The 25,294-nt window shown below is 38.4% G+C and overlaps 1 protein-coding gene across 25 annotated transcripts in view; it reads left to right on the top strand.

The window, feature by feature from the left end:
* Positions 1–25,294, top strand: part of GRM8 (glutamate metabotropic receptor 8) — an 814,344-nt gene that overhangs the window by 298,969 nt on the left and 490,081 nt on the right. Inside the window, exon 1 of one of the 25 annotated variants that reach the window (XM_047420273.1) lies at positions 111–3,185. The exons of the other annotated variants lie outside the window; for them this stretch is intronic. The gene's annotated coding sequence lies outside the window, so the exon portion shown is untranslated. Of the gene's footprint in view, positions 1–110; positions 3,186–25,294 lie in introns of those variants that run through there. 25 annotated transcript variants of the gene reach the window in all.

Here is a 25,294-nt window from a genome sequence, read left to right as displayed (position 1 = left end):
AAATATCTTCTAGTCCTAGTTAGGTTTCTCTTAGACCTTGGCCAGGGGGTTCAATTTGAATGACTACTGGTGTTGTCAGTAAATGAATAAGTAGAAATGCATATTATAAAGTAGTCATCCATTTAGCAGATAGTAAATTAAAATGTTGTATAATCCACTGGAGTTCAATATTGGGTCATTTTCTTCAAAGAAGAGAGAGGTATTAATTAGTTTGTTGCTTGGAGGCTTCATTCCCTTTGCTGTTGTAACAAACGGTTCCTGGGCACTCTCAGGCCCTGACTGATTAACTTGCATAGCTTCCTTTTGATAGCTCTCCTTCTGACACACATGGTTAAACAGGAGAGAATGAGGTGGAGGAGTAGAAAAAGAAGAAGAAGAAAAAAAAACTTGGCTCTTTTCTTGATAAGTGAAAGCAAATAAATGCAACACATCAGCAAACAAAAGTGAAATACACTGCCCAAGTCGTCCATCTTAGCAATAGAGTTTCTTTAAGCCAAAAATCAAATGTAGTGGCGGTATTTCACTGTTGGAGTTGCAAACAACTGAGAAATGACAAAAGCTTTTTAAGGCCACGGTCTTTGCAAGAGGGAAAGATGTCTTTCTGTTGAAACTGAAAAATTAAGATCGATTATAGCTGAGGAATAAAACCTCAGTGTGTTGAATTCAAGGGACAGAATTGTTGATATAGATTCTTAAGTCATCATAAGTATCCAAAAGTGGAAACTTAACAAAGTGTGGTTTCCCCGGTATAATTTTCACATCAGTGGTTTTTTTCTCCCCCAACCTGGTCTTTCTCTTCAAAGGAGATTTACTTTTCCAAAAAGCATTTTTAATTATGTTGAAGTAAAGGCAATACCTTTTCTTTTAACTTTAAATTTCAAACTACTTTTAAAGAAAAGTTGCAAAAATGGAACGGAGAATTTTCACATATCCCTGCCCTAGCCTCCCTCAGTATTAAAATCTTAACTGGAGTGCAATTATCAGAACCCAGAAATTAACATTGATATAATACCAATAATTAAACAAAAATCTTATTCAAATTCTACCAGTTTTTTCATCAATATTTCATTGTTATTATTCTCCAGGATTCTGTTCAGGATCCCATGTCACATTTTGTTGTTATTTCTCCTTAGTCTCCTGAAATCTGTAACAGTTTCTCATCTTTCCTTAACTTTTAAGACCTTATATTTTTGAAGAGTATAGAATACTTATTTTGCCAAATTCCCCTCAATTTGGGCTTGTCTGGTGTTTTCTCATGCTTGGTTTGAGGTTATGTGTTTTTGGCAAGAATTCCACAGAAATGATGTGTTCTTCTCAGCACATCATGTCATGGGATTTGTGATGCCAATATTTTTTATTAGTGGTGGTGTTGATCATGACCACTTGATTAAGGTGGTTTCTGCTGGGTTCTCCACTTTATAGTTAGTATCTTTTCTCCTACTGTTAAGAAAGATCTTGGGGGACATGCTTTAAGACTGTGCAAATCCTGTTTCTCTTTAGACTGTGAACAAATGATTTCAGCATACATCCATGGATTTTGATTCTAGTTACAATTGTTATTATGGTGTTTGCTTAATGGTGATTTTCCACTTCCTTCTTTCTTTCAACATGTATTAATTGGGATTCTACAGCCATGGAAGAGCTGTCTTTCTCTCCTATTTAGATAATAGATTATTTATATCCATGTGTATGAACTTATATATATTTATTTGGTTTTATGGGTCATATTCTAATATTATTATTTAACTTGTTTAATTTGTTCCAGCTTTGGCTGTTAGGAGCTTATTTTCATTTAGTGTTTGTGCTCTCTTATTAAGCCCTTATTTATTTTTTTGAACACTTTCTTACTTTTTTGCTTCACACTATATTCTAAGCTTATTTTTTTCCTCCTGCTCTAGTCCTGAAATCAATCACTTGTCCAAGCTTTTTTCTTTCTTTCTTTCTTTCTTTTTTTTAAATCAGAGAATGGTGTTTAGAAACTGAGATCTTCATGCTAGATGTGCTTATTACTACTGGGATGTCATTGCTCTAAGCCTTCTCAGCAGGCAGAGCCAGGAAATATATGCATATGAATAACCTGCACATATACACACCTCTATATTTCTTTATCTATATGTCTATATAGATATTTAAAGCCATTTGTACTATACAATTTATACTAAATACTGTAAACTCAGGGTTCACTTTTAGCTTTTTCCTGTCTTTATTTGTAATTTATTTCTCAAATAGTGAGAAATCTGCTTATTTTCCATGATATGTTTACTTCTTTGTTTGATTCTAGTGAACACATAGTTTTAGAATTGCTATCCTATGCCCCTGCGAGAAACATATTTACTGACTAAATTCTAGCATTTATGCATTTGTATTTGTCTTTAGCTTCATGGTATCCAGTCAAGATACTGTTTTCTGTAGTTATTTAGGTTAGTGTTACTATTCCCCATCCTTTCAGTGTAGTTTTGTAACTCATTTGTAACAGGCTTATTTGTTATTTTTGTATTGCATTTTGGATCCTCATCATTGTTAGTTTTAGTTGTTGATTGCTTAGGGGCATGTGAAAAATATGAATCATAACTGTGGTTCTAAGAGCCAGAGCTTTACAAAATGATGCACCCAAGGCAGTATCTGTCACTCCATCCTGTCTTGATACACATAACCATTTCCGTCTTCTTTCCAGCTCTTTGACACCTGCCCTCTGTAGATAGTTTCTTTAGTTTCTGGTGAGTTCCTTCCATATTTTCTTTGTACAAATGGGCAGTTATGTATGTGTTTTCTTATAATCACTTTTCTTATACAAGGAGTAACATAATATAGATACTCTTTTGCACTTAGCTTTTTTTACCTTAACAGTACATCCTGGAAGTTAGCCTGTAACAATTCAAAGAGATCTTCATTAATCTTTTTTACAGCATTATTGTACTCCATTTTGGAGATATATGACAATATCTTCTTTATGTACCACTTTCCCTTGCAGATAGGTGTGCCACGTTAACAGACTAAGGAAGTTTAATATTATTATAAAAGAAGCAAGAATAAGACAGTTAAAAAAAAAAAAGACTTGGACAAAGCTGCTACATGTAGCTGCTGCATTTAGGATCAATCCAGGTAGAACAAAATAGAAGTTAATCAGATGGTCTGGACCACCAAAAGTTTTTGACTTTTACAACTTACTAGTACGGTGAATTTGGGTAAGTTATTTAACATCCTCATGCCTAAGTTTCTCTAATTTATACAATAGGAATGATAAGAATACCTACCTCATAGGGTTACAGACAAGCCATGGGAAATGCTTAGCATGGGGTATGGAACATGGAAGCTAAAACTGGCTATAATCATTATTGTGTTTCCAATTGCTCTTAAATGTACTAATTTTTACTCTAAGCTGAAGTTTTTGATGCTTTGGTTTATATACACAATTGAAAACACTTGGAATTAAAAAAATAGCTGTCTTTATTTCAAAGCGATACTGAGAGAGAGAGAGAAATAGATAAAAATAAAATGAAAATGATCCCCAATTTTACTAACCAGAGAAAGTTGCTGTTAATATACTAGTACCAATTCTTCCAGATAATTTTCTATACTTATTTACAAAGTATGTATCTTTTGACAACAGATGTATAATTTAAACAGAATGTTATATTCCACATACCTGAATCATTCATCTCAATTTTTATTGTGAATATTTTTCTGCAGTACTATTCTTCTTACCAGAAAGCTCTATCAGATCATTTGGCTATTTCAACCTAAGGTCTGATTAATCAAGTGTGAAACAAAATTGAATAAGCAGACAGGCAAACTAAGCAGAAATCTCAGTAAATTTTAATGTTTGAATCACCTGGGTCCTCAACCAGCTATATATTTTGTAAATGCAGTGTTTTCCAAGTACTTACCTAGAAACGATAGAGTTAATTCAAGGAATCGAGCCATTGCTTTTCAGGCCTTATTTGTGATGTTCATTTTAGTGGTACTGCAAAGTGAGGGAATTAACCTCAACTTCAAACCCACGTCTTTGATCTAAAATACTCGACAGAAGCCTACAGGCTTCCTCTAAGGCTGCAGTTTTAAAGGAGGCATTTTCATCATGACTATGGTTTTTAGAAATTGTAAGTTTCACAGTTTTGAAGAAGAATTAGTCAGGGAAAGTCTCCCAAAGCTCTCCTCTGCTCCCTTCCTCCTCCCCACCCTTCCTTATTCCTCTGGCTCCATTATGCAAGAAGTATTGCTGGTCTGTTAATATTGCCAACATTCTGGATGGTGCTGAGACATAAGAAAATTTCCAGTGATGTAAAAGATCTAGCTTTATTCTCATTTTTAAACTCATGTGGGCAATAAATGAGTGGATAAAATTTCAGCAAAGTTTCCATCTAAAGGGACATTCTTAACTCCAATTCTTAACTCACAAAACCATGGAGATATTCGAGGACAGAGATAGGCATACTGCTTTTGCCATATGAAAAATAAACCTGTAATATATATTTTGATTCTGGTACTCATTGCACCTTTTAAAAGAGGGTCTTCTTGGAGGTAGAAGGAAGAAAATCACTTTAAAATTTTTTATTAGCTACTCCAAGGGTAGATCTGATATTTTATTTATCTTAACCTAAATATGCTTCATAAGAATCTAAGAAATGCTGCTGTGGATCAGGGAAGAGGCCTTTAAATGTAATGTTTTGTCTTCGAGGTCTCTGGAGGGGAGAGAATGGGAGTGTGATATTGAGGAGAGTTCTTTTAGGACCATGTCTCAGGTTCCAAGCTTCTCTAGAAATAGGCAAGGTGCTTGACTGCATGATGCTAAATGTTAATAATTATAATTATGGATTACTGAGTATTTGCCATGTTCCAGGAATGCACAGATGAAATATAATTAATTGCATAATTTCTTTCAATAAATCCAGGATACAAGGTAGGTGTTAGTGTTATCTCCATTTGATAGGTGAGGACCTTCAGACTTGGAGAAGTGAAATAACCTTGTTGAAGTCACACAGTTACCAAGTTAGTAAACCACCTGTTGAAATTTAACCTATATCTGTTAGAATATTTACTACCTTAGTGTCACTCAACCACACTCATCTGTGGTTGAATCTTACTGTGGGTCTCTGGGGTTCCCCCAAGTTCATGCTTCTCTTGGGTTCAGGACAGCATTTACGCACTGAGCCAGCCATGAGTGGCAGTAGGCTGTGGTCCTTGGGCTGGCCCATCTGAGAATCCCGAGTGTCTACAGCGCTTCCCCAGGGGATGGCGTCATTGATGATGAATGGCACATTGAGGCTGGAGTGAAGGAAATCCAACAGAGACTAGAGGAAAGAGCAGCAGGCACGGACTAGCCGCCCACTGCTATCCTTCCTTTCCTAACTGGGTCCTCTCATCTTCTCTTCTTTAGGGACATGCTGTCTGTTGAAAGCAAGGATAGCCATGCCTGCTACCTGTCTTTTAGTGGCTCCTTCATCTCCCTAGACAAAAGTCAAAACTCCTTTCCTTGGCATCATCTGTTCTTGCCTATTTCTTCCTTTATGCCTCCTGACATTCCCAGCCTGCATCCTAGATGGAAGCATATCCAGCTGCTTACAGTCTCCCAAACACATCTGTGTGTACATTTGTGTGTTTAAATGCCTTTGCATGTCCTGTGTTCTGTGCCCTTTCCTCTTATGTATTGTGTGCCTCAAAACTCCTTATTTTTCAAAATGCAGCTCAATTATATCCTCCTCCATGAAAAATTCCCTGTCTCTTCATGCAGAGTAAGGTATTCTTTCCTCTGGATTCTCAGAGCATCCCATAAATTCCTGTCTAATCATGTGTGACAAGATTCAATAGTGTTTCTCTTATTTTTTACTTCCACCGAGCTGTGAGCTCCATGAGGGCAACAGGTTTGTCTTGGAACTGTGCATCCCTAGCGCCTAGCATAGTGTCTGTAAGTGTTCGACAAATCTTACATGAGTGGATTAACGGATGGATCTGGAATCACAAACCTTAAAAGTAGAACTTACCCTCTTTGCTAGGATGCTGTCTGACATTTGGCAAATCACAGGACCTTTCAGGACCTTAGCTTCCTCACCCTTGAGATGAAGATCTTGACCATTTCCTCTAACGGCTCATCCTTAGAGCACCATTAGCCAGTTTAACAATGAGGTATTAAGGAGTCTCCAATGGCAACTACTTTTCAGCTTGCTTCTGGCTAAAATCTTGATGTTAGTCCAAGTTTTTGAAGTGAGTGATTTCGACTGAGAGAAAGGACACTGAAATCTATGGAGACCAAAATGGAATGAAAAGGTTGTTTTATGATAGGAAGGCCTCGGGGCTTGTTTCACTGTCACAGGCTCTTGGAATGTTCATATTGGGAGGAACCTAAGAAATAAGTCCAATAGCCTCTTTACTTCATATATACATATATATGTATATATATACACATACATATATATGTGTGTATGTGTGTGCATATATATACAATATATATACATTAAGATAAACAAGTTATACTTAAAATATAAATTAAGTTACTTGCTCAAAATCCCAGCACTGGTCTGAAGCAGAATGCAGCCTCTGGAGTCTCCAGTTTGTACCCTTCTGCTGCACCAAGCATTTGATCTCTACAACTAAAACAATATGTTGAATAATATTGACTGATAATATATACAAGGGGCAAAGTATTAATGTTACTCTCCAAGCTTCTGTTTCACAGTTGGCTCAGTACGGAGAATACTTAATGACATATTAAACACCTTTGATTACTCTTTATGTTCATATTGGCTTGGACTTTCCTGCCAAATGCAGCACAAGTTAATGGACAATTTGTTGTTTGTTGTCTTTTTTCCTACATCAATTTGAATAGCATCACAAAGGGTAAATGAAGAGTAAATGAAGCCTCATAAAGGGTACTTGACATGACACACCATGCTAGAAGATGTGCTAAAATAACCCACTTAAGCCTCAGTTAGTGGGGCTCCAGCTTCATGGAAGATGAAGGACACATCTTCCAGATAAGAAACTGGACAGTGTGTGGGCAATATAGAGCAAGTTCTGATGTCAAACTCTAATGATGACATGAATCATAAAGGCTTGGAATTGTTATATATTGTGTCTAGGTATGAATCAGCAGGTCACCTTTTCTCAAATGGATGGACCTGTTTTCCACTCTTAAAAATTTTACATCTGATGAATGTATGAATTAACTATTGAGGTATAACAAAACCATCCCAAAACTCAATGGCTTAACATAATAAGCATTTACTATTGCTCATGAGTTTATAGGTCTGCTGGATATTTCTCTGGTCTCAGTTTGGGTCTGTAGTCACTGTGGGTCAGGTAGGCAGATCTGTTGATCATGACTTGGCACTCTTGTATCTACAGGTTGGTATAGAATAGCTTTGGCTAGGATAACTAGCCTCTCCTGAACATGGTTTATCACTATCCAGCTGGCAAGTCCTGGTCTTTCTTTCCTTTCTTTTGACTTTTTCTTTCCTTTTCTGCCTCCCCTCCTTTTCTGAGTTTTACTCTGTCACCCAGGCTGAAGTACAGTGGCACACAGCTCAGGCTCATTGGAGCCTCAATTTATTAGGCCCAAGTGATCCTCTGATCTCAGTCTCCCAAGTAGCTCCAACCACAGGTGGCACCACACTGGGCTACATTTGTAATATTTTGTAGAGATGGGGGGGTCTCACTATGTTGCTCAAGCTGGTCTTGAACTCCTGGACTCAAGTGAACCTCCTGCCTTGGCCTCCCAATGTTCTGGGATTACAGGCATGAGCCACTATGCCTAGCCAAGTCCAGACTTTTTCTAAGAGTGTTTAAGTCTAACTGCAAGAGGGAGATCAAGGAAAACCATGACAGTCTCTTGAGACCTAACCTTGTAGTTGGCACATCAACATTTCATTTGTATTCTGTAGGCCAAACCAACTCACAGGGCCAGCCAGAATCAGAAGGAAGAATGCAAAATTACAGGGCAAAGGGTGTGGATGTAGGAAGGACATTAATTGAGGCTTCACTGCAATCACATTGAACACATGAATATGTGTTCATAAATATGTGAAAAACACAGAATTAGGCAGAGTAAAGGGAAAATTTCCTCTTTGGTCTTCTACTGTTCTACTTTCTTCCCTAAGTTACACTATTAATAATTCTGTGTATTCTTCCAGGCCTTTATGTGTGCATCTCTACATAGGGATGGGGAGATATAACTTCCCTTGACAAAATGTATAGCTCTAGGTAGACTTTATAATATATTTTTATTTAAATGTTAATTATAGGTTGTATATCCCTTATCTGAAATGCCTGGGACCAGAAGTGCTTTGGATTTCAATTTCTTTCAAATGTTAGAATATTTGCATATACATAATGACATATCTTGGGGATGGGACACAAGTATAAACATGAAATTCATTTGTTTCATGTCCACCTTATATGTATAGACTGAAGGCAGTTTTATACAGTATGTTTTAACAATTTTGGGCATGAAACAAAGTTTCGACTGTGTTTTGACTGCAACCTGTCTTATGTCAGGTGTGGAATTTTCTACTTGTGACACCATGATGGCAATCAAAAAGTTTTGAATTTTGGAGAATTTTGGATTTCAAACTTTCAGATTAGGGATGCTCAACCTGTATAAAATAATGTTTTAAAATACAGAAAACACAAATAAAAACTTCTATATCCATCACTCTGATTAAGTAATAGAAATATTTGTAACATAGAGATTTTCCTTTTATAAAGAAATAAAATGCTATAAATTGGAATATACCACCATGTATTTATTAATTGCTTATTTATTAATATTTAGGTTTTGTATTTTTTTGCGATTGTGAATATTTCTGCAGGGGACATTCTTGCATGGCTCCCTGTGTACCTTTGTCAGGGTTTCCCTAGAGTAAACATCTACACATGTAATTTATAGATCTATGGCCTCTGCATCTTCACCTTTACTAGATATTTTCATTCTCTTCCCCAAAAGATTGGTACCAACTTCCTCACCCACCAGAAGGATATAAAAGCTTCCCCATATCTTAACTCACAGTTGAGTTATTAATACTTCTCAACCTGGTGGATGTGAAATGACATCACGTTGTTAGTCATTTTACATTTCTCTGATTATTATTGAAGTTGAGCATCTTTTAATCTACTTACTAGATTTTAGAATCATTTTGCTAGTGAAGTATTAATATATATCCTTTGTTCATTTTTATATGGGATTGTTTGGCTTTCTTTTCCTGACTTTTGTAAGTTCTTTATGTATTTTGGAGACTAGTTATCTGTGTCTTACCTACATTCACTTATTCTCTTTCAGTCTGTGGTTTCTCTTTTTGCTTAGTTTATGTTATCTTTTGGGTATTGAGGTCATAACAGAAACTTTGGCTAATTTGTTTTTCTATATTCTGGAACAGTTGAAATTTAAGATGGATTCTGGCAAATCTCACTTCTAAACCTCTTTTTGACTACTGTTTAACATCTTTAATAATTTATATATTTACAGTAGAAACTAAGCTTTGCTTCAGCCCCCTGGGCTGCGTTGGGGGTTTCCCAATCCTCTCCTCAAAGCCTGTGCAGCCCTCATGGGTCAAGTATCTAGTTTAGGTTCTCTGCTGGGCCACAGCCCAAGGCCAGGACTCCAGGCCCAGCCTCTAGGGCCTGTATTCTTGAAAAATACACCTTTGGGATGTCGCATGCAGCCCAGGTCCACCTCATATTCCTGACTTTTACTTCTGTATTTATTCATGGCTTCTGAGAACCTCCTATCTTTCTCTTAATTTCAGATCACATTATAAGATTTATTTTGGATATGTTTGATCCTGTTTTCCATTGTTGGTGGTCAGAGGAATGCCCATGTCAGCTTAGTCTCTCAGGTTGCCAGGAGCTCTCTGGACAGGCTTAACATCTGATTTTGATGGGTACTATTAGTATCTCTTGGCTATAGTACTGATCTAAGGACCTCAGCTTTATTTGCTTGTTAATAGATTTAGCACAAGAAGGAGGTCAGCAGATCTACCTGGAAAGACAGAAAAATATTAATATACATTTTCATCTCAGGCATTTTATATTTAAACTTTCATCAAGCACGTGGGTGAAACGAGTCCTTTAGAAAGAAAGAAAAATATTAAGGCTATGCCTTCCTTCGACAAGTGAAATGCTCTTTTAGCAAATATTTGACAAATGTCTAAATCCATATATGAATGTAAATTTGTCTGTTTACTCTCGATTGAGCTCAAGGCTGACTCACACCCATTTGCAGCACTTGTTCTGTGAACATGAAGGACTCTATAGTCCTAATTTCGGCTGCCTCACCACCTTGCACATACACGGCGTCAATGAGAGAGAGGGAAGAAATGGATAAGGTTTCACCTTGAATCACCCCAAGAGCTATTCCTTCCTGTTAAAGACAAATGGAGTCTGGGCCAATGATTTAATGGATTTGATATGGAGAAGATGTCCCACAAGGCCCCAAGCATATACCAACTTTTGTATAAAATGATCTGTAAGTTTTGTGCCAGCCTTTGATCTTACCCTTAAGACAGGGGTCTGAGATTGGAGGACCTTGACTTCCTAGCCTCCTATTGGTGCCTACCACACCTGTCTCTTTAACATCATCTTTAGCTACTTTGATCTGCCTGTGCCCACAAGATCAGGGCTCTGCCATGTGTCCCACAGTCCCTGGCTGCTTGCTCTGGGTAGTGGAGAGAGAAAAAAGGGACTCAGAAACCCAGGGCACTGGTTGGGACTGAATTCTGGCATCTTTTGAGTGATTGTGACTGGTGTGATCTCTGGATTCCTGAAAACTTGGTGACTCTGACCATTAGTAATTTGTCAGTTTCTTCAGATGTTTCTGAACCTCCAGTTTCATGGGGTCCAGGATTCCCTTACACCTGCCGATCTGATAAAATCTAGAATCTTGCTTTTCAAAGAGAGAGCCAAAGGCCCAGCAGCTTTGGCATCACTTGGGAGCTTATTAGTCAGGTCCCACCTGAGACATATTGAGTAGAATTTGTATTCTAATAAGATCCCCAAGTGATTCATATGTGCCGCTCTACTTGACTGAATTTCAACTCAGTATTGGGTATCAGTATCAGGATCCTTTTGTCAAAACATGAACCTCTCACAATAATGGACATATCCCCCTTCACCTGCCCAGTGAGAGTACTCTCTGTTTAATGACCAGTTCTCATGAGTCTGTGCTACTGGTGGAAGTGTGGCTGTCACTTGAATGTGTTAGCAAAGGAAAGAAAGGTTAGCACCGGTGAGTCTCATCTTCACTCTGCCTGTTTCTGACCTGGACCACACCCTGATTCTTCTGGGCTGAGCAATATTTAATTATACTTCTCCAATCCTAGCTGCACTGGGGACTTGGACTAGGACATTCACATACTCCTCATGCTCTGCACCTCCCTGCTGCATGCCGGGCGAGCAGTAGCACAGACCAAGGTATTTGGCTTATTGTCATGGAGCAGAGCAAACGTCCACATCCACCCATCTCAGGTCTAGGACCTTGGCCTTGTTAACACTGACCTCTAAACTGAGCTTGTTACTGTGATGTTCCTTGTCAGGTAATGAGTGCTTAAGCACCCACTGCTTCCAATTATAATGAATTATTGGCAATATGGGCTCAGCCCTCAAGCAACTTTCATAGTCTGAAGTGGGCAAGTGATATAAAGAAGAGAGGACAAAAGACATGCAGAATGGAAAAAAAATAATAGCATGTAGGCCTGCCAGGTGGTTATCTTGGACCACACGGCAAGTATTTCATTATCGGGCAGTTTTGACACTTAAAAAATAGGTACGTTCTCAATATAGTAACGATGGCCTTCCATACTATCACTTGATTATTGGGAGTGTAGATGCTTGGAAATTTGCTTGCTCATGTAATCAAAACATCCAGAAAGTAGTTTTCCTGCCTGATTCTTTTTGAAAGTCTGGAGAAGTCACCTTGCCAAATTCACTACCCAATTCATGAGGTTAACAGGCTTTGCTAATTCTCTCAAGTTTTTACTCCAACTCAAGTGAGGAAAATATTGCAGAAAGGTATGCCAAAGTGCATTTTAATTATAAACCAATTTTTGTTGTTTAAAGAAAGAGAAAGTTTCTGGTTATCCTATATATTTGGAAGAAAATATTTATGGCCCACCTGAGGTAAGAGTGGAGGGACTTGCCAGCAGATTTTTTTAAAAGAAATGTTTCTAGGTAGATGTGATTTTTGTTTATAATATTGATTATTTGTAAATCTCTCAGACTTTTGGGTTTATAGATTCTGCAACCACGGTTGCATTTGAGTATTATCTTGTTTGCTATTTTTCTGGAAGTAAAAGTTAACTATTTAAAAAAATGACACGAACTTGTCTGCTAATTAAACACTTTCTTTCTTTCTTTTTTTTTTTTTTGAGACAGAGTCTTGCTCTGTTGCCCAGGCTGGAGTGCAGTGGTGCGATCTCCGCTCACTGCAGGCTCCGCCTCCTGGGTTCACGCCATTCTCCTGCCTCAGCCTCCCAAGTAGCTGGGACTACAGGTGCCCGCCACCACTCCCGGCTAATATTTTGTATTTTTTTTTTTTTTTTTTAGTAGAGATGGGGTTTCACTGTGTTGGCCAGGGTGGTCTCGATCTCCTGACCTCATGATCCACCCGCTTCGGCCTCCCAAAGTACTGGGATTACAGCCGTGAGTCACCGCGCAAGGCCTGAAACACTTTCAAATAAGTATATTTTATTTCTAGGAAGGGATTTAATTTTCTTGCTTTGATTATGGCAAGATTTTATTTCAGGAAGTGCAGAATTAGAATTGTTTCTGCTGAGATTGAAAACGTCCACTGGATAGATGTCCTTTGGCCCAGTGTTTCCTAAGCACATGGCCAAAGCAGTGCAGGGCACTGGGAAGTCCCCATGTATGATGACAAATGCTCATGACTAATGAGTCAGTGTGGGCAGATAGGTAGAATTTCAACATTGATCACCATCCTGTATAAAAACCTGCTGCGGAGATGATTAACTAAAATGTATAAAACTCTGTCCCTCATTATCAGCACCTTTTTATCAAGGTAGTTGCAAACAGATAGCTAGAAAGGGGCCAACTAAGCAAACAATGCTCTACAGAGTCCCTTTTTCGACAATGTCATCTGCATTGCTTACACAGTGGGCACTGGCTCCAGGCTGGGCTCTTAGCCGGGACAACCAGCCAAGGACCAAACAATCCAGCTGGACAAATCCAAAAGCATCCTCAAAGGAAGAGAAGGAACAACAACAACAACAAATTGACCCCAAATGACAATCATAGAAGACAGCAAGGGATATTATAGCATAACCAGGAGTTCTGGAATAAGTCTGTGCCTATATGAGGTTACCAGTAGAACACTTCAATTGGGAGCTCATCTTTAATTTTGTTTTGAGTGATGGAGGATCAAGGGCTCTTGTCTACATGGTGACAACAAAGTTGATGGATTCTGGTCTTAGCTCTGACACTGCTGAGCAGTGTGAGTTGGACCTACATACTCCTCTGAGGCCTCAGTGAAGAGGGTAGCAATTTTAACCATTCCAGTGAGTGCCCACCATATGCGGCCAAGATGGTCTCAGGGACCATGGCATTAGGGAATGGAAGCAGATGAACTGTGAAGCCACTCAGCAAGAGGCTCCATGGCTGAGAAAAATCAGCTTAGAAAACTAGGTCAGACCTGGGTGGTGACTATATCAGAAACCTGCAAGAGGAAACACTGTAAATGCATTAGCCAGGGCAAAATTGATTATTTAAAAAATAAAGATAAAACAATGGATTAAATAAGCCATGCTAAATAGCTTCTGCCCTGATAGAAATGGGATAAATAATTGGAATTGCAGGTGGGGGTTAGTGGGAAGGTTCTATTTTAATCCGGAAAAGAAAAAGACTCATTTTCCCTTCAGTTTCAAGCATGTGCTTTAGTTTCAGATTCATCTTCATGTTACAGGTGAAAGATAAAGGCCCCTGGTCCACCCTGGATGTTTGGTAAAATGATTACACTGATTGTCCCAATCAGCTCCCTGAAGGTTAAGATAACATTTTCTTTGCAGATATACTTTTAGTTTGTAAAATCATTAAGTTTTGGAGGATACTGGATGACACACATTGCTGTAATTATCACTTAGCCTGCAGTGGTCAACTTAGTTGAACAGAATGTGACACTAATAAGAAACAATGTTGTGGATGCAATCTCATGCAAGCTATTTGACTTCACAGAGTGGAGGAAGTCTGTGTTTCATGAATACATCCCATCTCTGGACAACAGGCTTGCAAAAATAGCATTTTGGTATCTACTGAGATTGGGAGAGAATGAATATGTGTGGTCAGTATGGGCCATCAGTATGATGAGACAGATAGCACAAAGCATTTACCCTACAACCAGTGGGTCTCAAATACATGCAGGCACAATTTTCTTATGATGAGGTATTTAACTATTTTATGTAGCCATAACTATAGCAGTAATAAAGTTTCCGTCATCCATTATCTGAATGCTTACTCTTTCTAGGCATAGTAGTAACCAGGTGCTTGAATTTTCTCATTTAATACCCATAGCAACCCATGAGGGAGATATTGTTTTTCCATGTTATAGATGAGGAAACCTAGTCTCAAAGATATGTGGAGACTTGTCCAATATCAGTCAATTAGGGAGTGATAATTCAAAGACTGGGTGTTCTTATTTAGGTGGACTCAGCTAAATAAGGGTGACATGGGAATTGGCTTCTCAAACCTAGAAGTATATTTTTATTTTATCACATTGATCATGCTTTTCATGCTAAGGTATCAATACACATGGTAAATGAGTGAATGCCCTGATTGAATTGGTGTCTTTCATTAAAACTCAAGGCACTGGGCATTTTATGGCTTGCCAACCTGAGAAAGAGGTCAGTCTCATAGAACAATGATGGTTAAGATGCCCATCTTCTGATTGATAGAGATATTTTTACAATCAGGTGGCAATGATTTTAGACAAAATTAATTGAAATCATACTATGAACTGGGCATTGCCCCAAGTGCTTTGTACATTATCTCATTTGATCCACAGGAAACTGAAGCACAGACAGCTGAGGCTTAGAGAGTCTAGGTAAGTAGCTGAAGGTCAGGTTGCCTGTAATTGGGAGAACTAGGATGTATAAACGATCCATCTGTTTTCAGAATCAGAGCACTTAACTGCCTGTATACTATGTGATTTTATTTTCTGATATTTGTTACTAAATATTTGCACATGTAACCATTTATCAATTCAGATAACTTTATGGGATTCCTTCTTGAGTTGATCAAGTGATATTTTACTATTAGCTTTAAACTATTGAAAAAGAAGAAAATTGTCTTAATTTTACAATTCTTTTTTTAAGATAAAGTGTTTTCAAGTTGAATATAGTTTTACTTATTCAAATGGATTTTCTTAGCTATGCTTTGGTGAGGAATGCTGGATTTTAATGCACTTACTACTTTATCTTATAACCACCTCTTCTTTCTAAAGTGACAGTTTCTAGGTCCTCACCTTTAGCTCATGCATATGTATACACAATATATAGACTTTGCACTCAAACCACTTTGCTTTCCAATTTTCTCCTATATTAATTAGGGTACAGGTTTGGCAGCTGTAAAAATTAGATGTCAAAATGTAATACTTCAAACAACATAGATGTTGTTTAGGAAGGCATTTCAGGGAGGGTAGGCAGCTTGGCTCCATGAAGTCACCAGAAACTCAGGTTCTGTCTCATTGCTCTGCATCCCCAGGCAACTGTCCCCATCCATGTGCTCAGTGGTGGCACCCTCCTTCACATCTGCATTCTGGCCCATGGGAAGGGGGAAGGGACAGAGAAGGGGAAGGGACAGAGAAAGTTAAGGACAAAAAATTTCCTTTATAAACATGTATACCATTGGCTAAAATTCATATTTTATTGGCCAAAATGTAGTTATATGACCATGTCTAGTTAGCTACAAGAGGGGGTTATGAAATGTAGGCTCTTACTGAGCCACCTTTCTGGTAGTTCCTTATCTAAAAGGACAAGAGAAGAATGGACATGGGAGATAATGAATAGTCTCTGTTCACAGCTTGTCTCCCTAGCATCTAAGTATCCCTTCCTACCCTTCATCCCACGTAGAGGATATGCCCACCTTCTTCCCAAAGAGGCAAACCAAAGCCCATTTATTTACTGCACCCAGCTGAGAGTCCAGGTCTCTGGGATATGTCTAGGCCTCTCTATCAGGGTGGATGTGCCTCCAGTGACCCCGGCACTAAAGGACAAGTTATCTGCCATGAAATCCCTACTTGGAAAGGGAAAAGAGGAGGAGGCAAACAGCATAATCTAGTCAGTAGGAGTTAGCGCTTTGTTGTTGTTGTTATTACATTTCTCTGGGCAAGAACTACTTGGCAGTCTTTATTAGGTCATCTTGGCCAATCCAAACTCACTCTCTGGGTATAACTCCCTGTCCATTGTCCTTGATGGCCTCTGTCTTTTGTGGCCACATCTGTGGTGGGTGTTAGATAATATGCCCTCATTGGTAGCTTCCCTCCTTGTACAGCTTGCTTTCTACTGGTGCAGGTTTGGGAACCTGAGATTTGGTTTAGTGATTCAACAGTCACTAGCTCTGTCAGCCAGGTTTTTGTTTTCTTTGGCAATGTAATACCCGCAAAAATTCCAGTCTGTCTGCTTCCAGTTCCACATTAAAGTAGCCTTTGGCTGTAGTTTTTAACTACCTTTTGATTTATTGGCTTTGTAGCTTATTTATTGGTTTGGTAGCCCACTCCTAACTCCCTCAGTTTAAGGGCTTCTTCCTTGAGGTCATCTGAAGCAATAGGCTCGAATGGGAAATCCAGGCCTGCCCTACCTGAATGTTTGAACTGGCTGCCATTGTGTGGCCTAGGAGAATATAGGAGATTCTTGAAGGATGCTCTGAGCAACAGTCTTACCTTGTACTGCTTGGGGAACAGAAAAAGTTGGCTTTTCTAGCAGGAGTCCTCAGCTTTCCAGCTGTCAATATCTGTATCTCTGTCCTTACAGCCTGTGACCCTGGTCTCAGATATTGTTATGGCAATACCCACTTCTAGGTAGAAACTGTATATTAGAATACAGGCTAAACTGCTGTAACAGAGATTTGTGAAAGTAGCTTAAACAAGCTAGAAATTTCTTTCTTTTTTACCCAATGGTCTCAATCAAGGTGGGTAGGTGGCCCAGGATGGGTGGGTACTTCTTCTCTGCAACATTGATTAGAGAAAGCCCCGATTCCTTCTGTTTGTTACTCTGCTGAGTCCCCGGGGGTTGCTCTCAGCTGCAGCACTGAAACTGGCTCCCACAATCCTGCTCACATTCCAGTCTGCAGGAAGGGGCAAGTGGGAGAGAAAGTGGAGGGTGAACATTGTCCTTAGGAAACATGAGCTGAAAGGTATACACATCCTTCCTAGTTATACCTTATTGGCCAAGACTTAGTCCTTTAACCACTCCGAGGTGCAAAGAAGGCTGTTGGAAGTAGGGAGGTGTAGTCTCCAGTGGGATAGCCATTTGCCTAAATAAAATTCAGGGAATTCTATAACTAAAAGGGAGAGTGAACAGCGGATAGTGGGGGGAGTCAGATAGTCTGTAACACAATCCTATTGACGGGTTATAAAATGAGGTTAAAACATGACTGGAGTCGTGGCAAGCCCTTAAATACTTTCTCTTTCCTAAGGAGCCTATCCATCATGAAAAGTGATAGGAAAGAAAAATCTCCTCTAGGTCCTGTTACTCAGCTCTTTCCCTGTGTTCTTACAAATACAATGTGAGTTGAGTTTTAAGAAAAAAAATCACAGGACAAGTGATCAAACGTTTTAAGTTCAAATATCGATCATTTTCTGAGTTCCTTTCAGCCAACCACATTATACTTTAATCATGGAAACGTATCTGTGTGTCTGGAAAGGTGGTTATAACTAGTTCCAAGCAGCATGATTTAGATGGTTTTTATCTTTTCTTAATACTGCCATTGTTGCCAGCCCAGATAGAGTAATTCAGGCTTGGTAGTGGTAATGTTTGTCTGAGAGCAAGCACACTTACGCTGGTGAATGAAGAGGTAAAAATGATGAGCTTACCCTGTCTGAATCTCTGCTGCCCCTGAAAACACTGAACCTATAGACGAAACTGCTTTCTGAGTTTATATTGAGGAACAAGGTTTATTTAGGATGAGAGGAGGAGGAAAACACAGAGGTGGCATCAAGCCTGGGAAAGTGAGTAGGGTTGGAAAATGTGGTTTCAAAGGTATACATATGTATTGTTTTCTGATGTGGTAAGTTCATGTGGACATCTATAAGCAATTTCCTTGTCATCTCAGTTGAACTGTTATCATCTCTAACACACAATTGTCAAAATTCACTTCTGAACCTTGCTAGTGTGCACACCTGTGCCTTTGCATCCCTCACCATTCAGTGAGTTGACAAGTAACTGCAGATCTGATGCTCTGGCCTTTGTCTCATTCAGACCTTGAAATTGTTCTTCTCCTCCCCCATGTCCACATAGCATCTCCTCAACTCTGATAACATACTTTTCTAGTGTTTTGTGAGCTTTAGTTGCTGCCATCCTGCCTAGGTGTTGAAGATTGCCAGTTCTAGTAAGTTTGCATTTTGCAGACTCTACCATGGTATCTCTGCCACCTTTGCTGTTAGTAGTTCTGAGCTAAGGAGTTCTGGGTCTCAGCCAAAACAGTGAACTGTGTCTTTGTGTCCTTCATTTCCTTTCCCTCTTGTTTTTGCGTCTTTGCCATGGAAGTTTCCCTCTTCAACCTAAAGCCCTAGGTACCCTAAAGTGATCTACACAAACATGATGCCTCTCTGTAGTTTCATGCTTTGTTTTTAAAAATGTAGAATGCAAGATTTGCATTCTACTGAGATTTCCCAAACATTGTGCTAGTCCCAGAGAGGTGACAGAGAATGAAACAGACATGGTTCCTGCTCTCATGGGTCCATAGATGATGTTACCCTATATTTATTGAGCACATATTACATGACAGACATTTTTCTGCATTCTTTACATGTACAAGATTTGCATTCTACAGCATAATTTATTCATTTGTTAAATAAACGAATGATCTAAATTACTACCAGTTAAAACGTTCATCTCCCTATGCTTCCAATATTTAAGAAAAACATAATTTGCAGGAAAATAAGCTATGTTTATCCTGTGGCTTTGCACAATCTTTTGACACATGGCTCCAAACCTCCAAGGAGTCAAAGTATTCCTCTTTGAGAAACATACACTATCTTAGTCAAAGAAATTAAGCTCTAACTGTGAGATTTATGCTAAGTAATATTGCTTATGAAGGCAAAGACTCTCTCAGAAAGCTAGAAATTATATCACAGAAAAGACTACCTCCTTTAGATCCAGTCCTACCAACCAGCCATTCTAGTTTCTGCCCATGTCTCATTTGACCCATGTAAGTGTTTACTGTCTCTCTTTTGACCCTAACTACAGGTACAAAGAATCTGAGATTTCTGTCTCTGACCCTTAAGTGTAATCTCATACTATTTAATGTTTTTTGACTTTAATATTGCCAGTCATTTGAAGATATATTTTATTCATTTGCCTTTCAATTTTTTTGTATTGCTATTTCTCTGGCTTAGATATTGCCAGTATGTTCATTTTTAACTCTGTGGTTTAACCTCCATGTACACCATTATTAAAATCAATTTTAAAAAGTCATAAGCATGCTGTGGAGACCCATCACTGAACATTTTTATGAATGATTTAGAGTGGGGCTAAATAATTACATTTTGTGGCTGAAAGACTCTCAGTTGATAAGTTAGAGGAATAAACCATTTTTTTGCCTTCTTAAATATATACTAGAGCTATGTATTTTTATATCCATTTTATAATGTAGAAGCATCTTGATAGCACAGTTGAGAACTCCAGGGGATTTTGCCTCCATCCACATTTCTCTAAATCTGACTCCTTAAGTATTTGGGAAAGAACTTGGTTAAGTTTAAGTATCAACATCATGAAGAGTTGTGTGGGGCATACAAAAGGAACAATGTCTTACCCCTAGCAACTGGGGAATAAGGAGACACAGTAAACATGTATCAACAAATATATCAAGGGCTTAATGGGTAGCAAAGAATGAAGTGATTAAGTATTCATGCCCTCCACATGTATTCACTAAGCTCTGCTACTTCCCAAACATTGTGCTAGTCCCAGAGAGGTGATAGAGAATGAAACAGACATGGTTCCTGCTCTCATGGGTCCATGGATGATGTTACCCCATATTTATTGAGCACATATTACATGACAGACATTTTTCTGCATCCTTTACATGTACTGGTTGTTAATCTTTACAATAACATTATGAGGTATGAAATACATTTATTTACAACTAGGAATTGTTGGAACCAAGATTTGAACCCTAGCATTTCTCTCCACAGCACAGAGCCCTTGACTTCCCCACTGTCCTCCTACATTATCAGCCGGTATGTCCAGAGTTATTGACCTATAAGCTGTGATTAGTGCTAAGAACACCAGGTGCTGTGAGAATTTAATTGGGATTGGTAAATGTGGGTTCAGAGAAGGCTACATAGAGAATAGTTAAAAGTAGCCAGTGAAGTGTGAACGGAACAGAGACTGGACCAAGTCATAGAGCTTGGTGTGTTCAGCTTTTACCTGACTAGAGGAAATTTCCAGATAACATTCATCCAATCCTTAATCTATGTTCTTAACTCTTTCCAGGATGTACTATTTGCCTGCATTGCTCTTCGCACCTGACTGTACAACCTAAAGGAGCCCTCCCCTTGCTTTTCTGTAGCTTTGAATCCAGTCCCTTTAAAAATATTTTCTGGAGGAGAGGAAGATAAATGTGTTTCTGTCAATTGCATTCTGCTGGGGGCTAAGCCACATTGCAGCTGTGTTTGTGATGCTGAAGGCGTCATTCTTGTAACTGTGAGAGGATGGGTCTTTCTAGGAGTCAGCACACATAATTCCTTAGAGAAAGAATCTTGGGCTTTTCACTATCAGAGTCATCCTCATTCTGGTTTTAGCCTTTCCTGGATAGGGATAGGTTTCAGCCACTAGAACTCTGACAGCTCTCTTAACTTACTGCTTCTTGATATGATATAACTCCACAACCTGAGATCTCTACTTCATTTCATAGCCAATCTTGTCTTAATCGGACATTTGAGGGAATCCATCTATCTCTCTCTTTCTTGCCTCCACAATCTGAATCACACAAATTCATTTCTGAGAGTTCTTTTGAATTTTTCTTCTTTATGTGACCTATAATATTCACCCCTGCCTGGCTATAAGGGACTATTATTCTTTTTTCACATATCCTAATTTGTAAGACCTGAACCTCTCCAAGAAAGTGGAGAGAAGAAAGTGCTTAACTCATTTCATTAAACTTAATTTGTAGTCTCTAGGCATATTTGTATATTATTTACCTGCTACCCTTTGAATGCAATAATATGCCTTAATATGTATGTCTATTTTCTCTAGCAAGATAGTGTACTCTTTAAGGTGAGCACCATGCTTTTATAAAATAATTTTTCTCAGAATCCTGTGTGTTGATCAACCATGGATACACAGGAACGTGTCTTAAATAACTAATACTGTGGTAATTCTTTATTCAGTTGTCTGTGATTTTTTTTGTGTAGTGCCAACCTTGAATTTAGTTTGTCAGCTAAAAATACATCCTTTATTTTATATTAACTAATGATAAACAATTTAATCATTGATTGACCTTTCTTAACTTCCTTACTTTTGGCATTGAGGAGTATTAGCCTTTACACACTTTGGTTTCCACTGCCCTTTAAATAAATGTCCGAATGCCACAATTAACTTAATAGATTCTAAAGAAAGACTCATAGCAAAGGCAAACTAAACAAAGTAGTCAACCTACCAACCAACATAAAACAGTCTTGAGAATAGAAAAAATCATTTATGGCCATCTTTTAGAGATGCTAGTGAGATTCCTGCACTGGTAAGGTTGACCCAAGATTACCCTTAAGTTTCTTTCTAAGATGCTATTTTAAAATTTACAGGATAAATTAAAGAAGAAGATTAAAAGGAATGTTAATTAGCATAGTAAGTAGAAAAATGAGGGCTTTGGAATTTGTTGTGAGAAGGGCAATAGTTATTTTGAGTTAGATGCTAAGTGCTGTGTGATGCTCTCAAAGCAACCATGATAAATTATTAAGTATTTGTAATTTATTATACACATCAGAAAATATATTGCAATGTGAGCTGATGTCACTCAATAGCACTGGCTGAGGCATTTGTCTAGAATGTTGTGTGAGATTGAGGAAGCAGTGGACTCATTAGTAACTCACATTGTTGCAGGAGACTGTGTTTTTCTTCCTATGAAGTTTTTTTTACAACTTCAAACTAGAAAATGAAGAATTATAAAGACATATTTACATTGTTCAGTTGTCTTGGTGAGACTTCTGCCCTCTGAAATTATTGAGATAATACTAGTATTTTCCAAAACATGAATTTGACTTCTATTTGAAGTAATGTTTTCTAAATTCTTTATTAATATTTTGGGTTTTTGACTTTTTAGTTATCTGTGAATGATATGAAATGCTATTAATCTATTGTTTGTTAACCTAGTTACAAGCTACATGTCCTATTATGCTCAGTGCAATTTTATAAAGAATAATTTATACTAAACATGCAAAAGCATGCCTCAGGTAAGGATTAATGCATAAGCCCCTAGAGATTACCATTTTTCACAGAATCTTTGCAACCTGAGTATTTTCATGTACTGATTCAAAGCACATCATTGAATTTGTATTTGGAAGAGAATAAAATATATTCTTGCATTTTATTTCTTAGCAATTGTAGGAGCTCTTGTCATATGCTGTGGTTTGTTAGCTCTGGCACACCTTGAAAATCTTTATTTCCCATTACTCCTGAAAATTATTTTAAAAATCATCCTCTATTTTAACTAACGCATTTTTCCCTTGGATATTCTAAATTTTACCTCCATTCCAATGCATTCAGTATCATCTCTGCTCACAGACAAATTGTTTCACTGCCCTTGAGAGGATTTCCTGAAAACTTCAAAAGTATCTCTCCATCTGCACCAAGCAGTGAGCCTGCTGGAGAGAGGTGGAAGCAGAAGTGAGGGGGTATGTGAGTGCCAGATGGATGGGGACAGAGGAGGCTTGGAAAAGCAGACAAAGAGAGAGTTCAGGAACAGGCCAGGGCATAGCAAAGAGCAAGGATTATGAATACAAAATACACCTCAGTTGCAAGGTGAAAAGTAGCGGTCTCCAAGAATTCTGACTATGAATATCACTTATAATACTCGGCTCACATGAAAACATTTAATAATTGATAGGAATTATCAGCTCATAATCTTAACTATGTTTTGTAACCCATTAGAAGTTAGAAGGAAAAGTGGCCATGAAAACTAAATAGGATAACAATTAGGCTGATAGGATGATGGAATTGGATTATCAGAGGAAATGAAAACTTGGTTGAAGACCCATCATTATTATTTGTTTAATATTGTGCTTTCCCTTGTCTAGAACCTTGTCTGAGACCTCATCTGACATTCCTGAGGCAAAAACATATCACAGTCAGAAGGAGGACTCGGCAAGACCAGAGCAGTGTGTCCTCCCAAAAGAGGTTTTCCTCTTCTGTAGGACTGCCGATCCCTTGGTTAATTTCTAACCAACACTGAGCAATTTATTTTGTATGCCAGCCACTGTTCTAGCTGTTTTGCATGTGCTAGCTCATATAGCTCATGTCAGCTCTTATGAGGTCAGTACTACTACTATTGCCATTAAAATAAGGAGAAAACAGGCACAGAGAAGTTAAGTAGCTTCAGTAAGATCACACAGCCAGGAAATAGGAACTGGGTTTTGAGCACAGGCAGTCTGGCTGAGAGTCTTCATTCTTAATCACTGTTGTCTCCTTCCTATCTAATATAGCTCAGTAAGGGCTTTGCTCCATGAGAATCACATTCTAATTGGTGAAGACACAGGGCTATGATTCCTTTCTTATGGCCTCTGTTGATGGAGACTCCACATTCATCTTTAGCTTCTATATTCTTATTAATTCAATGAAATACATGAAAGTATAGTATAAATTGCAAAGACCAATACAAATATTATTTAATTATCTCCCAAACAGGGGAATTTGTCCCTTAGGTCCTCCTTAAGTTTAAGTTTCTTTATATTTTAAATCTTGTATGAGTACAGAATTCTGCTCTGTACTCATTCTGTATGAGTACAGAATTCTTCTCTGTACTCATTCTGTATGAGTACAGAATTCAAAAAGGATAGACACTAGCCTCATGTGGCTGTTTAAATTTAAATTTAAGGCTGGAAATGGTGGCTCATGCCTGTAATCCCAGCACTTTGGGAGGCTGAGGGGGGTGGATCACCTGAGGGCAGGAGTTTGAGACCAGCCTGGCCAACATGGTGAAACCCCGTCTCTACTAAAAATATAAAAATTAGCCAGGCATAGTGGCCTGTGCCTGCAGTCCCAGCTATGCAGGAGGCTGAGGCAGGAGAATCGCTTGACCCCGGGAGGTGGAGGTTGCAGTGAGCCGGGGTCGCGCCACTGCACTGCAGCCTGGGTGACAGAGCAAGACTCCATCTCAAAAAAATACAATAAAATAAAAAATAAAAATAAATTTAAAACTCAGTTTTTTAGTCACTCTAGCTGCATTTCATATGCTCAATTGTCCTATGACGCTAGTGGCTGCTGTCTTCAACAGCACAGCTATAGAATGTGGTCGTCATAGCAGAAAGTTCCACTGGCTAGCACTAGACAGATTACAAAAGGCAGTATTTCCTTTCAAATGGGGCAACATAATAATTAAATCACATTGGCATTGGACTATCTTATTTTTAAGCTTTTTTATGCTTATAGAATTAATATGATATAATGTCTCTTCCCCTTGGTCTTCTTGCTTACTTATTAATTCCTTTAAGCAAATTTCCTTTTTCTTGTTCCTTTCGTTTTCCTCCTTTTTTCTACTTCAATTCCTCCTTCCATACTGAGTATGTGTGAAAGCAGCTGCCAGAGCCCATTAAATGCATCAACACCTTTGCCTGTGGACAGTCTGCTTCCAGCCTTGCTTCCTCAGACAACCTTTTCTGACCTGCAAGAGGATTCTCTGATACAGCCAGATTGGACCTGAGGTTCTGCATCACCCTTGAATACGTATTTTTTTTTCCCTAAAAGTGTTCACACTTTCTTTTTAAAATAGTTTTGTAGTTCCTCCTATTATTATAAGGGTAGACGTCATATTTAATGTACATGTCAAAGATGGTATCCATATTATATTTAGTAAGTCACACAAGATGAACTATTTTATGTATCTTTTAGGCCAGCAAATGCTTTAACAGTGCCTTGCACTTTTTTTTTTT

The sequence above is a fragment of the Homo sapiens genome, chromosome 7 (genome assembly GCF_000001405.40).
Source record: "Homo sapiens chromosome 7, GRCh38.p14 Primary Assembly".
NCBI lineage: Eukaryota > Metazoa > Chordata > Mammalia > Primates > Hominidae > Homo > Homo sapiens.
Note: the sequence above shows the minus strand (reverse complement) of the source record. Positions and strands in the feature narration are given on the sequence as shown.